This window comes from Homo sapiens, chromosome 11 (assembly GCF_000001405.40).
Source record: "Homo sapiens chromosome 11, GRCh38.p14 Primary Assembly".
Classification (NCBI taxonomy): domain Eukaryota; kingdom Metazoa; phylum Chordata; class Mammalia; order Primates; family Hominidae; genus Homo; species Homo sapiens.
Genome location: NC_000011.10, coordinates 120,836,284 through 120,851,278, shown reverse-complemented (window position 1 = coordinate 120,851,278; position 14,995 = coordinate 120,836,284). Strand labels below are relative to the sequence as shown.

The 14,995-nt window shown below is 45.1% G+C and overlaps 1 protein-coding gene across 18 annotated transcripts in view; it reads right to left on the bottom strand.

Annotated features, from left to right (window-relative positions):
- GRIK4 (glutamate ionotropic receptor kainate type subunit 4) overlaps nucleotides 1-14,995 on the bottom strand; it is a 477,159-nt gene that overhangs the window by 137,628 nt on the left and 324,536 nt on the right. For all 18 annotated transcript variants that reach the window (NM_014619.5, NM_001440404.1, NM_001440403.1 and 15 more), the window contains one exon: nucleotides 14,435-14,488. In NM_014619.5, the coding sequence (NP_055434.2) occupies nucleotides 14,435-14,488 (54 nt within the window). The remainder of the gene's footprint in view (nucleotides 1-14,434; nucleotides 14,489-14,995) is intronic.

Below are 14,995 nucleotides of genomic sequence, written 5' to 3'. Positions count from 1 at the left end.
CCTGCAAGTCATTCAGTATGGCTGGGGGGTGCAGTGGGTGATAGGGAATAGGAGGTCACAGGAGTTATGTTAAGGAGTTCAGACTTTATCCTGAGGGTAATGGGGAGACAGCCACTGAAGGGTTTTAAGCAAGAGAGCAATATGATCAGGAATGGGTTTAGGACTATCTCAACTCTTGGCCAAGATAAAAATCCAGCTTTGGAATTCACAGGAGATGCGTCTACCACATGAGCTATGGCTGGAGGCTTCAGTGGGATGGGCAGGCATCAGGCTTGCCACTGGGCTATGAATGTGAGGGAAGCCCCAGATGGTGATTTACGGAGCTGTTGACGCCTTTGACATGGAGTGAAGCCTGATGCTGAGGATGGAGAAGCTGGATTGCTTAATAATAACAGCAATTGCTACTCCTAATGGTGCTTGTAATACAATAGCACTTATAATGTAATAATAATAATAATAATAATAATAATAATAATAATAATGTGATTTGCCATAATGCCTTTTATTTTCAGTCTCCTTCTGCTTTCCAAACATTCATTAAATCTCAAACACTCTTCTCAGCAGGGCCCAAATTCCTCAGGGCCACCAGCCTCCCTGCTAGCCACAGCAGTTTCAAGAGAGAGGCCTTGGTTTCCCCCTTTGCCTTGGCTGTCAGTTTTCCCTCAGGGGCTGGTTTACAGGCCATCATCAGGAGGCAAGGGATGGGCCCTGCCCTGAGCTCTGCCTTGCTTCAGCAGAGACAACACAGAGTTTATCATTTGCATGATCAAGGGATGTATGGATTTCCTGCCTCAAGTGTCTCCAGCACTCTCCTCCTGGTGCCCTGGCCCCAGATCTCTCCTTGTATACCATTTCACCAGATGGTAGAGGAGAAAGGAAAAGAAAATAAACTAATTTACACAGTTGGCATGTGTGGTAGGCAGGATTCTAAGATGACCCCCAAGAAACACACATCACACAAACACACACACACACTCCCCAGGACTGTGACTACGATGAATTTTACCTCTCAATTAGGTTACGCTATATGACGCAGTTGCCTTCAAAGAAGGAGATTATCCAGATGAGCCTGGCCTAAGAGTCCTTTAAAAGCAAAGAGTTTTCACTGGCTGTTTGCAGAAGAGGAAGCCAAGGAGATATGAACTAAGAGAGAAACTGGACTACAGGGAGGTTCCCTGTTGATGAGATGGAGCAGTCATGGGGAAAGGACCCAAGAATGGTCTCTTGAGGCTAGGCTGTCCCTAGCCAAGAGCCAGCAAGAAAACAGATTTCATTCCTATAACCACAAGGAAGTAGATTCTGCCAACCACAGGAATGAACTTGCAGGGGGACCTTGTGCTCCAGATGAAAATGTAGTTGGTGACACTTAGATTTCAGCCTGAGCAAAGAGCCAGTCATGCCATGCTGGACTTCTGACCTATATGACTTTGCACTAATAAATGCTCCTGTTTTAAGGTGCTAACTTTGTGGTAATTTGTCACACAACAATAGAAACCAATAGAGCACAGAAAAGCCAAAAAGATCAGTTTGACAAGTACAAGATGTAGACTGGGAGGTAAAAAGCAGATTCTCACATCTGCCACTTATTGAGTGAAGACCCTTGAACATCTCTGAGCCTCACTTTCATACTGTGTAGAATTGGAACACCCACTTTGCAGTGTTATTTTGAGGGTTAAAGATCTTGAGTAGAAGGTGCTGGGCATGGCATCTGGTACATTGCTGGTACTCAAGAGCCAGCAGCGCCTATTGTGAGAATACCAGCTTTGGGAAATGGGTAGATTTTTATTATTAGACTCTCTTGATTGTGAATAATTGGAAATTGTTGGATCAGTAGACGGAAGGCCGAGGCATCTCTCATTAAATTAATGCAACTTCTGAATCTTTAACAACTTTGTGATAGAGGGTCAAGGCAGCTTCCTTTTCTCCCAAAGCTCTATTAGATAGAAGGCCTGGGCAGTCAAAGGGGAGCATTTCCATTATGTGTCCAGAGATATTGAACCACAGTAGTCTCCAGGGTCTTGTTCTTATTTCAGTTTGATGTATTTTATATGCACAGTCTGATGCACCCACTCACCAAGGCACATGGGCATAGAAATGTGTGTGTGTGTGTGTGTGCGCGCGTTGGGGGCAGATACAAGCAATGCGTTTCAATTTTTATTAAATGGATGCTACACAAGTATCTCAAACTCAGCTCTGGGAGCCCCGTGGGACTTATCTTCCCTGTCATGCTATTTGTCAAACATCAGCAAAGGGGTTGTCTGATAATTGGTTCCTCCGAAGCAAAGAAGAGTTTCTTTACCTCCACCAGGGTCTCAACATCCCCTGTTGAATGCTTCTTCAGTTTCTATTGACTTCCTGGCAATATCCATTCTGTTCTCACACCCCCTGTCCCCCTCGGTTAGGAATTGAGGGTATCTGGCAACTCCTGCCTCACCTTGGATAACCAGATCTCACTGAAAGGCCCAGGGGCTGGCTCCTCCTCCCCTACCCTAGCTCTGGGTGGGATAAAGACCTAATTGGTTAATTTTCATTTTTAGTGATCCTGCATCCCCAGGGTACAGTGTCTGGCTATTCTTCCAGGATAACTGACAATAATGCCTCATTTCCCCCCTGGATATACTGATTCATCAGTCCCAGCTGAGACCAACTCTTGCTGTGGGTGGAGAGCAGATGAAGGGACCCAAATAGAACAGCCTAATATTGGGGTACTCTTGGGGAAAGTTCCCATGCAGCTTGGGGTGATTCTTCTGATCACCTGAGCTTGCCAAGGGAAGGGTCCCTTCTCTGATACCACTTTTTCCTCTTCCCCTAGCCCAACAGGAATGGGTGAACAGCCACATACCCACCAGCCAAGTAAGGCAGTGGCTTGATTCAAATGCCCCCTGAACCAGAGCCTGCGCTAGGTACTGTTAGCATAAGGAGAGGGAAAGTCAGAAGTACTGAGGAAAGAGCGGCCACCTATAAATGCTGACAAAAAGAAAGGTGAACAGAGCATAGGAGGTAAGCCCTGCCCACCTGGGGTCTCCTGGAGCTCTGGATGTAGTTCGTCAATGGCACATAGCATCTTAGAGTCAGTCTGTACCTGTGCCTACTACATCCCCTGCCCCCTCAACGGCTGCCCAGCCATCCTCCCTGCAGCATTCCTCCTCCAGGAGGGAGTTTCTCATGACTTGGATCTCAGGGTGAGAAGGCTTCCAGGGTCAGGAACAGGGATGCACTCCAGTGTTGGCAGAATAAAGTTCACCTTTCAGATACTTATTCCTAGCTGGCACTGGAAGCGAACCAAGGCTATGCCATCTTTAGGACTGGCCTAATCTCCCTGCTCCTGCCCTAGGGAAGCTCTGGTTTCCATTCTCTTTTTAGGCCAGTAGGGCCCATTCCCTGGAAGAGGGACACCTATTGACAGCTATCCAAGTGGTAATCCCTGGGTCTGGGATTTTATGATATTTAGCCTGGGACAGGCATTTGTGACAAGCCACCACCAAGCTAAAGGTGCTAACTCAGGTCCACTTGGGAATATGCCTTTCCTCTTCCCCTGCCTTACATAGGATAGTAAGTTGGCTGTCCATGGGGAGTAATATGAAAGTTCTGAAAGGTTCTCCCCACCTCCAAAATACCTTCCTTACAAGCTCCACAATTTCTCATGCAATCTGCTTCCTTGGTTAAGGCCTTAGCTAAAAAGCAAATGTCTGGGATGCATGAGCCATTAACTGTGTGTATCCCCCACTTAGAATGTCCTTCTCTACCTGACTAACTCCCATTGATTCTCCAAGGCCCTTTGGATTGGCCTATTCCAGGAAGCTTTTGATGAACCTGCCAGGCTAGTCTGGAGGCCTTCCTTTGATGGCCCCCTAATACCCTGTGCATATCTTCATCACTTTATTGAACCCACTGATTTATGATAATCTGCTTGTGTTCTTCTTCCCCTCTAGTCTGACCTCCTGGAAAATCAGAATTTTATTCTTCATTGTATCCCCAGCACACAGCACAGTAAGTGCTCAGTTAATGCTGATCTAGGGAATGTGTGAACTGTGTGAGTGAGGAGACCTCCTCTCTCTACTCCTGACTCACTGTGAGAGCCTGGCCAAGTCACTTTCCCTCTTCAGTTCTGTTTACTCAACTGTAGAAGGATGAGATTTAGTTAGATGCTCTCAACAATCCAAAAGAATTTAATGTTGTCATGGACATTAGCACCTTGGCACGAACTGGATTTTCAGATTGCCCTGTCATTTGTCAGGGCTCTACGGAGCAGGTGAGGACACAGGACAGATACTTCTGGGTAAGGGGGTGGTGAGAGATCAAGACAGCTCAGAAGACAGGGGTGCTCCCCCACTCTGGGGGATCTGGACAGCTGAGGGCACTGCAGGGATGAGCCAGCCAGATGAGGACACTGGAAAACCGTGAAGAGGAGGGTGGCCGATTTCATCTGGAAAAAATTCACCAGGAGAATTCATCTGGTTGTTCATTATGTATTCATCCAATCCATAAACTCAATAGAATTTCAGAGTTGAAAGGTCTTTGGAGACCTTCTAGCTTGTCTCCAGAGAAGAAAGGGCTTGTCCAAGATCACACAGTCAGTGGGACAGCCAAAACAAGACCCTGGGCCTACTGACGCCAATTCCAATGCTGAAAAGTCCAGCAAACGTGCATAGCAGAAGGACATCATCTCACCTGAGACTTCCTTGGCTGGCTCTGGGTCCACCTCTCTCCATCACACTCTCCTGCTCCAGGCACAAAAGGAACTATAACTTACCACTGCCTACATGTCACTCTCCAATTGCCATCTCTAACCCATGCTTCAGTAAGGGAAGCCATATCTGTAAACCCTCATCCAAACTCCCAAAGAAGAACTACATGCTCTCTCCTCTGGGCTGCCACACCTCACATTAATAGACGCAGACCTCTTCAATTCACATCCTGCTGGACCACATCCTCCTAGTCCTTGTTTCTCCCACCACACAGCAGGCACTTAATAGATGTTTGCTGACTCAGTGTAGTTGATGGTAGCATTTTCCATATGCAAATTGCTTAATCATAGCTGGCTAATCATTTTATAATCCTATAACTTGGGCCAAGGAACTTCAAGCTGTCAGCCACAGTTTCCACAATGCAAAAAATAAATCTTCAGTCAATGCCTCCTGAATCCCCTTGTGATTCTCTCTGTTTTTTCTCCTTCTGAACATATTTCCATCTTCCAACAACCATGTGCAGAGAATAGGTACAGGAGGGTTAGCAGCTTTGGAAAACACAGGTTTGGATCAATAGCATCTCTGTAAGAAACTGCTGTGCCCAAGCACGCCCAGGAGACATCTGTCACCGCCAGACCTGCCACCTCTCAGGGTTTGCATTGGGTAGGGTGGTACCTTGGCAGCTCAGACTGACACACAAGGAGCTTTCACTCCATCACTCTTTTTTCTAGTTGCACTAAAACATATTTATTCATCAAAGTATACTATATTATGCAGAGTGGTTCTCCTAAAAGGCTCAATAAAGCTGAAATATGTGGATACTCTTAATAATTTTACAATAAACTACACTTTGGAATCAATTGCTCTGGCACTAGAAAGTTGTCTGGCTGATGGATTGTAACTTCTGGCCGTGTGTGTGTGTGTGTGTGTGTGTGTGTGTAGAAGTGTGCATAGGGATGTGTGTGTATATGTTCATGTGTGCCTGTTGCATTTTCCGTGAAGAACTGAAAGGCTCAAGCATCCTGGGAATTACAGTTCAACTAGGTGAGAGGCCAACTGAAATGTTTCTGATAACAGCTGTAGAGTTTTGGAAAGCTAGAGGCAGTAAATCAGGAAACTGAGGTCTAAGGATGGAAATACTTGACAGGTAAGTGAGAAAAAAGAGAGGGAAGGGAAATAATATTTACTAACAACCCTCAGGATTAGAAACTTCCCATCGTCTTCACAAAATAATGTTATGAGATAAGCATGATTATCTCCATTTTACAAGAGGGAAAACTGATAGGCCAACAGGTTAAGTAACTTGCCGCATGTACATCTAATGTACGGCAGGGCCCAGATAGGAACTCAAGTTCTCTCTGATCTGAGGCCCTGGCAGCTTCCATTAAACCCTTTCTCTATTCTCAGTGTCAACATAGTAATCAGGCTCACCCAACCTCATATGCCAAGCCATTGGGACAGAGGACAGGACTAGATCACTTCATAATGGCCTTTATAACCTGAAGGAGAGGTTTCTTCTAAAGACCCTTGGGTTCTGGCTCTATGAGTCAGCTGCCAGGTGTTGGCCTGAAGACACCACATGATCAAGGCTGACCAAGGCAGGCATGGTGTGGCCAGTGAAGGAAACAGTCCCAGGTGACAGAGAGACCACTTGTCACAATCAGCCTGACTGTCCTTGCACTCTTCTGCCCTCCCCTGCCTCAGTGATCATTCTTGGTGCCAACCCTGGGCCTCAGGTTTTGACATCACTCTCACTCAGCAGAACCCCTGAAATTGTGTCTCTTGGATCCTGAACTAAACCACCCTACATGGTCCTGCACAACGTTGACTTCAAATCTGTCCAGCTCAGAATGGGAGGAAGGGTATTCCAGATGGAGTAGTTGTCATGTAGGCTAAGCAAGTACCGGGGGTCCTGCGGAACAGGGAATAGGGCCCAGCTCTCCCCAGCTGAAACGCAGATAGGTTCCTTTGTGTCTGAGGCTTAGTTGGGATGAACTGAATTCCTGTGGGATCTAAAGAGATGACTTATCTTACTTGGCCAGCCCTTCTACCCCAAGAACTCCAGATGTTATGGAATGCTCCCTTCACTCATACAATATTTATTGAGTGCCTACTATGTAGGAGGCCACTGGATCTATGGTGATGAACAAGACTGATTTGATCTTGCTTTTATGAAGCTCAAAGTCTGGTGGAAAGGTTAGCGTAGAAAAATGGATTCCCACTTGAGATGAATGCTACAAAAACAAGAACACAGGGTGCTGGGAGAGTGTGTGGCAGCAGACTCAACCTTGCGGGGTGTCAGGGGAGACTTCCTTGGGGAAGTGACATTTAAGTAAGTCCTGAAAGATGAGTAGCGTCAACTCACCAAAGCAAGGAGTGAAAGAGTGGGGCTGTGTGCATTCTCATTTCCTCCTGGAATCAATTATTTTTTCCCTCTCTGTCTGCCCTGGGTCCCCTTTCTGTAATAATTTTAGCAATTTCAAATTACTTATGGCTAATCTCTCTGATAAACCTTTGGAAAAATAAACATAGGCTCAGGTCTACTGACAATAAAACGAACCCAGGGGAGGAAAATTGGCTGCATATATCCATTCTGCCAAAACAAGATAGAGACTGGGGCATGGAGGGGTTATTTCTGCAGGGCTCACTTGGACCTGACTATAGTTTGGGAATCTGAGGACCTGTCGGGTGAACAGAAACTGCTTCCACGAGTCACACGAACTCCCCAACCTGATGGGGCATTCTCCCCTCACTCCAGGGAACATCCCCAATTCCAAGGCATTGTGAACTGAAATGCCCCAAACCACATATAGGATGAAACAGGTCCAAGGCTGAAAAGGCCCTTAGAGATCACCTAATACAACCTCACAATTTTTCAGATAAAAAAACCGAAGCCCAGCAAGGTAAAATAGCTCACCCAGATACAGGCGGTAGAGTGAAGAGGGTCTCAACTTGCTCATCTCTAAAACAGGGATAAAACTGTGTCTCCTGCTAGAGTTGTCGTGAGGTTTAAATGGGAAAAAACTGTGAAGCACTTATTAGCACTTACTCACGTAAATATCAACTATTGATATTGCCATACACCCAGCTAGTTAGTAGCAGGACTGGAACTTGAAGCCATAGCTGCTTCACTGCTAGTCCAGGGCCTTGCCCTCTATAATAATGAGGCCTCCTGCTGATGTACTCCTTCTCCCTGTCTTCTAACATGGCATACCCAGCTCTCAGTCCCTTCTCTCTAGATTCCCCAAAAGAAAAACTCTGGGTGCCCACTGCCTCTGTTGACACCCCACAAATAGCATTCTACCCTCCAGCACAGCGGCGGTGCCGAGAGCAGGGAGCTCTGGCCCTGCCTGGGGCATGGCAATGAAATGGTGGCGCTGGAGTCCAGCTAGTCACACCACCTGCAATGCCGTAGCAGCTCAGTGGTCAGCAGACCACACAGCCTCCTGCTTCCAGTGCCCAATTATTTCCCATCTTTCATTGGCAGTCCCTGACTTTTGACCTTTACCCTTAAATCTCAACACTTCTCTCTGCTGAGATGGCAGCTCCTGCCATAGGCACAGGGCCCACCTATGCTCTCTGATAATAGATTAGGGTGATCTTATCTTTTCTGTTAGGCAGTGACTGCATATCTCTCTGGGTTCATTAGTTGCTGGATAATCCCTCCAGATTTATTAGCTCAAATTGAGCTTCCTCCTTCATCTCTTCTCTTACGGCATCAACCACCCTGCTGTCTCAACGGTAGACTGGTTGCCCAGAGGCCCTTAATTCTTTATGTCTTTTATTCAAACTTCCATCAGTCTTGCACAACAAAGGTTTCCCCCAACCAAACCCAGAGGCTGACTGGAAGACAGAGACTCCCTTGCAGAGTAAAGAGCCGAATAAGCACAGTGCATCTATAACTGCCCTATGCATGCCCTCCTCGGGTAAGAGAACACGGGAAGCTGACATCCTTATAACTAAGTGCTGATTTCCACTTTTAGGATCAGTTATCCTCTAAAAAGACAAGCCAGGGCTTGGGATTCTAGTTGCTTTTTTAGTATACATGAAATAGATGTGTGATGATGATTGATAATTTAATAATGTGGCAGAGATTGCTTTGTGATCATTAAACTCATTTCCTCTTCTCCCTGGGCACATGGCTAGACTACCTTTCCCAGCTTCCCTTACAAGTGAGTGTGGCCATGTGATGAATTCTAGCCAATGGAATTGTGAGCTGAAATAATACGTGTCACTTCCAGGCCTGACCCATAAACCCTCCCATGTATGATCTTCCATGTTGTTTTCCTAACACTGGTCTCTAAGAGGACACATTTATAAACTAGAAGAAGACTGGGGCCTTGAATAACCTTATGGAATGCTGCTTACCAGAAACACCCTTTTGGAACTTCAATTGAGTAAGAAATTTTCTTCCATTGTGTGAAACGATGAGATCTGGGGGTTTATCTGTTATAGCAGCTAGCATTACCTACCAGGTACAGTGTTATCAGTTGCTAATTTTTAAATCTTACCAAGATTTTTAAAAGGTGGATATTATTATTCATATTTTACATATGAGGACAGAGAACCTCCAAAGGTCCCAGCTCATAAGCTCCTGAACTGGGGATTTTTACCACTTCTGACTGATTGTAAGGATGTGATTTTTATTCATCAGCTACTTTCCCTCATTATAAAGCTTCTTAATCACCAGGACTCTCAACTTCAGTCACGTGGTCTTGCTTCTTCCAATTTGCACACTTCAAATAGAAATAAAAAACACATCTGACTACTTGACACCCATCGAGATGGCTATTATTTTTAAAAATGAAAAATAGCAAGTATTGTCAAGGTTGCAGAGAAACCGGGACCTTTGTACATTGCTGACAGGAACGAAAAATGGTGTGGTCATTCTGGAAAATGTTCGGTGGTTTCTCAATAAATAAACGGATAATTACCACATGACCCAGCAATTCCACTCTTAGGCATATACACAAAAGGATTGAAAGCAGGGACTTGAACAGACATTTGCACACCCAAGTTCATGCCAGCATTATTCACAATAGCCAAAAGGTGGAGGCGACCCACGTGTCCATCGATGAATGAACGGATACACAAAATCTGGTATGTGTGTGTCTACACACACATAGTATATTATTTGGCCTTAAAAAGGCAGGCAATTCTGACATATGAATGAACCCTAAAGACATGAATCTAAGTAAACGGAGCCAAACACAAAAGGACAAATATTATATGATTCCACTTATATGAAATACCTAGAGTAGTCATATCCATACAGAGAGAAATTAGAATGGTGGTTGCCAGGGCCTGGGTGCAAAAAGACATGGGGAGTTTGCGTCTAATGGGTACAGAGTTTCATTCTGAAAAGGTGAAAAATGTTCTGGAGGTGGATGGTATTGGTGGTTGCATAACAATGTGGATGTACTTCATGCCACTGAAAAGTGTACTTAAATATGGTTACAATGGCAAATTTTATGTCACATATATTTCACCACAATAATACAAAGCTTAAAAAAAAGAAATGCAATTTCTGACACATGCTACAACATGAATGAACCTAGAAAACATTATGCTGAGTGAAATAAACTAGACACAAAAGATAAATATTGTATAATTCCACTTCTATGAGGCACCTAGCTAGAATAGGCAAACTCACTGAGAAGAAAATAACATGGAGGTTACCACAGGCCATGGGGAGGGGGAATGGGGAGCTATTGCTTAATGGGTACAGAGTTTCTGTTTGGCTGGATGAAGTTTTAGAAATATATAGTGGTGATGGTTGTACAACACTAAGAATATAATTAACGCCACTAAACTGCAAACAAAGGCAGGCAGGCAGGCAGATTGATTTCTGGATGAAGGCAGAAACTAGTTCTCTGTGTTGGCATGCTTTTATGACTCTGCACAGTAATTTTATTTCTCTTAATTTGTTCCTTAATCGGTCCACTTCACTTTGGCCTGGACTTTTGACCCCCTGCCTCAGTCTACCTGCCAGGACTTACTTCCTCATAGTTGCTCTCTGCGTGCCCGACCTCTGGCCAAGTGCTGTCAATTTACCTGTCAAGTTCTCACGATTTGGACCTCATAAGCTGACCCTCTGCCCCAGAGCTCCCACCTTAACCAGGTGCCATTGCTGTCTGTTGATCAGAGATTTCCTCTGTGGGGAATGATTCCTGACCCACTAGAACCAGAAGCAGGGGCATGATGCTGTTTCACTGATCAAGTCTCTAACATCAGTTCCGACCACCCAGATCTCATTTTGAAATAGATAATATAAATAAAAGGCCCAGATGTCAGTTCACTGTTTCCTCTGACTGTGTGCCTTCATCTCCATACTTCCTGTCACTGACTTCCTCCTCTGTTCTGGAGAGGGGCTGTCCCTGTCTGCTGCTCTCTCCCCTCCTGCAGAAGTGTCTCTCTCCATTGCCTGACACCTCACTGTCACCCTGTCACTGAGCCCAGCTTCCCCTGCACCAGAGACCTGGCCCTTCCCTGGACTTGCCCAGCTTCTTCCAGCTCCGCCTGTGATGGCTGTGTGACCCCCGAGCAGCCTCCGCTCTCTCTGGCTCAGTTCCTCTTATTGCATCAGTCACCTCTGTCACCCAAGGCTCAGGGTTAGAACACTCACTCTTCTGCTGACTGGACCCTGACAGAGAGAGAAGCTGTGTTTCTATAGGGTCAAATGAACTGATGGTTTAGAAGTTCGATTCGTGATGGATAATTTTGTCCCAATTCTTGTGATGGGTAATCAACTGACAGAATCCACAGCAGTCAACCTAATTCATTTATTACAGATGCCCTAAATCAATCACTTTTCTTTATGCCTGGATGGGAGTGAGGTATGGGCATTTGATCAATTACTCAGTAATTACCGACACAAATAAACCCTACAATGGTCAGTTCAGTCACACACAATAACCATACTACCTAGTCCTATTTCTTATCTGGAAATAAATAAAATGGCATTTTAGGAGTCACTTTCACAGGTCATGCATGGCTGGGGAGCAAAATAAGCATCTTCCATTCATTTTAGCCCATGGGAGGCATAAGCTGGACTTCTTAAAATAACACCTTCTCCTAAATAAACTCGTATTGTGAGTCCATTGCTATGTGTACATTATCTCCCGAGGCAGGTACTATTAGTGTCCACTTACAGAAGAGGTTCCTGGGGCTCAGAAAGGTTAAGTAAACTGCACAGGATCACACAGCCAGTAGCTAGTCAAACAAAAGTTTTGAGTCATGAGTACCTAATGCCAAGGTCCATCCATGCCTTTCCCGTTCACCATGCTTGTTCTCTAAAAGCTGATCTGAGGACCTACTGCATCACTGTAGCAGAATTCAGAGTGATGAGACATGGTGGAGATCCCCAAGGGATTCAGAGAAAGAAGAAATAAGAATGAAAACCCAGCTGGCATCTGTATTGGGGAGAAGGGACTGGAGAATGCAGAAGACAACTCATTACCCTCTGGATGAAGCCCCTCCCTCTATGGCCCAAAACACCAACTGGGCCAGATGCAGTGGCTCACACCTGTAATCCCAGCCTTTTTTGGAGGCCAAGGCAGGCAGATCACCTGAAGTCAGGAGTTTGAGAGCAGCCTAGCCAATGTTGTGAAACGCCGTCTCTACTAAAAATACAAAAATTAGCGAGGCATGGTGGCGTGTGCCTGTAATCCCAGCTACTTGGGAGGCGGAGGCAGGAGAATGGCTTGAACCTGGGAGGCAGAGGTTGGAAGGTGAATCAAGATGGCACTACTGCACTTCAGCCTGGGTGACAGAGCGAGATTCTGTCTCAAAAAAAGCAAAAACAAAACACACACACACAAAAACAAAATAAAAAGCAAACAAACAAAAAAAACACCAACTGCAACTGGGCAGAAAGAGTGGTCCTAAAAACAGTTTCTTTACTCCTATTAGAGGTTTGTCCCTTTTAGAAAGCCAACACACTCATGAGAAGCTTCTAGAATATTCTCTTACTGGCAGATTTTTGCAATGGTTCTGCTGTCGTTTTCTTGACTATTATTCAACCAGCATCATTTATACAGTTACTTTTCATCATGATTTCCTCTTGCAAACTTACAAACTGTTAATTCCATGAGTCCTGTTAATTCCCAAAGCTGATCTCATTCATGCCCACCCAAAAAGGAGAAAAGCTCTTTGAAAACTGAAAGCATCATAGAGCTATATATTTTTCTAAATATAATGCCTTAGAAACATATAGGACTTTGTTATTTAAAATACATTTTTACTTACAGAATTCCAGTTAATCCTCATAATAAACTTGTAAGGTTTTATGTCCCCATTTTTAAAATGAGAAAACTGTGGTTCAGAGAGTCACTGCGACTCAACCAAAGGCTCACAGTGAGCATAAGGCTGAGTCAGGACTTGACTCTGGGCCTCCTGACTTCACAGGCCAGTGCTTTTTCCACTAGATAATATCATCACCATCATTCTTATGATTTCTATGAATGGGAAATAGTGGTACACTGTGGAGGATGCTGTCTTAAAAACCTCTAAGCCAAGCAACTCCACCTCATTCCGGTGACTGTCCTGGGAACTCATATTCCAAATGAATGGCTTCCTTCCATCTGCTAAATCACCCCAGCGACACCTCGTTGCCCAGTTCCTTCCTCCTCTACTCATGTTGCCGGCCTAATTTAGGGAGCCTCTCTGGCAGGCTGGCACTGGCCTGCCTTTTCCCTCTCCTCCTTCTATTTCCCAGGCTCCCAAAATGGAACACAACTGTACTTTAATCTCTCTTTGCTCCTTTGCCAACTTGCCCAGGCTCCCCCAGATGCCTCCTTACTTTAAGCAAATGCTTTTGCTTTGCTCTGGGAGTAGTCTAATCCTTTTCTCCCTTTTTACATATTAATGCTCTAATTTATAGCAGCAGTGTTAGGTTAAAAAAAAAAAAAGGAAACAAGTTCATCTGTTTTATGTTTTGAGGGGCATGAGGGGGATTCTGGGGTGCTGGTAATGCTCTATTTCTGGAGCTGTGTGCTGCTTACACAGGTGTGCTTACTTGGAAAAAGTTTTCTTAAGCTACGCGCATATAATATGTGTGGCTTTCATCTATGTGCACGCTAGACTACCATGAAGATGCCCAACAATGGGGCAGGTATTTGGATGGTGGTGGCAAACTAGGCACTTCTACTCAAGTTCAAGAGAAGGCTGAACGGCTTCCTGACAAGCCTGTTGTGGGAGTCCCTATACCAGAAGAAAGGTCACACTAAATTCCTCTAAGGTCTGTTTCAACTCTGAGAACAAAGGCCTGTCAGATGCTACAGGGTTAACAATCCCACAGCAGCCCCTGGAAAGGACTGTTCATAGACACCGACAGCTGGAAAAGAACAAGGATCTCAGAGTCCAAGCCTGTCTCTCTGGGCTGTCATCTTCTAAACCTCACAGGACTTTTTAGGACACCTGATCCCTAAGTCCATGTAGAGACTAGACTGCAGGCCAGTAACTGGACCTACTGAGGAGGCTCGTCCATCACACTACAGCCCAGAATTCGCTTTATGTAGCTAGCGGCATTTGAATGGAGGCATTAGATTCCCCAAATCCTCATTCTCCTGTGGCTCAGAATTATTGGGATGAGAATTTCCAGGACGCCCTGCCTCTCTGGTTGGCTTCTGCTCCTCTGCTTCTATCTCCTGTACTCGTCATCCCCTGGGCTTTTTCCCTTATAATCCATCAATCCTGACCACTGACAACACTCTCTTCCAAGGAGGTGAGCTGTGAGAACATCTTACCAGATTAGTGAAGATGTATGTGTAATAGGCTGACACCATCCCAAGTTCGGCTGCCTGCAAGGCGAAGAGAAGGAGATTAGAGAAGAAAACAAAAACTCACTTGAAGCAAATGAGCAGTAGGGGTTCCAAGTGTCTACCATTTGTCTGGCCCACTGCCCCTTGGCACCAGGCAGAACAGAACATCTTGATTAGTTCTTATGTTGCCCTTGATCTTAGAGGATGGAGCACAGAAATTCTGGTCTCAAGAGCGGGGTCTCTCCACCTCCGCCTGGCCCCCTACCCCTGCAGTGGCATGCGTAGTAGCTGGTGTTCTTGTACACAACATACTCCCATGGATATAGCCAGACATTACTGAAACCAAAATGACTTTTAGGGAAATGAAGCAAATAATAAAAAAGACTACAATAATGATCTCCACAGCTATTAACAATAACAATGGCTAACACTAACCCACTGTTTAGTATGTGTCAGGCACTCTCAAGCATTCTACATGGGATAACTCTATGAGGTTGGCGCTATTATTCCTCCCCAACCCCATTTTACAGCTGAGGAAACTGACAC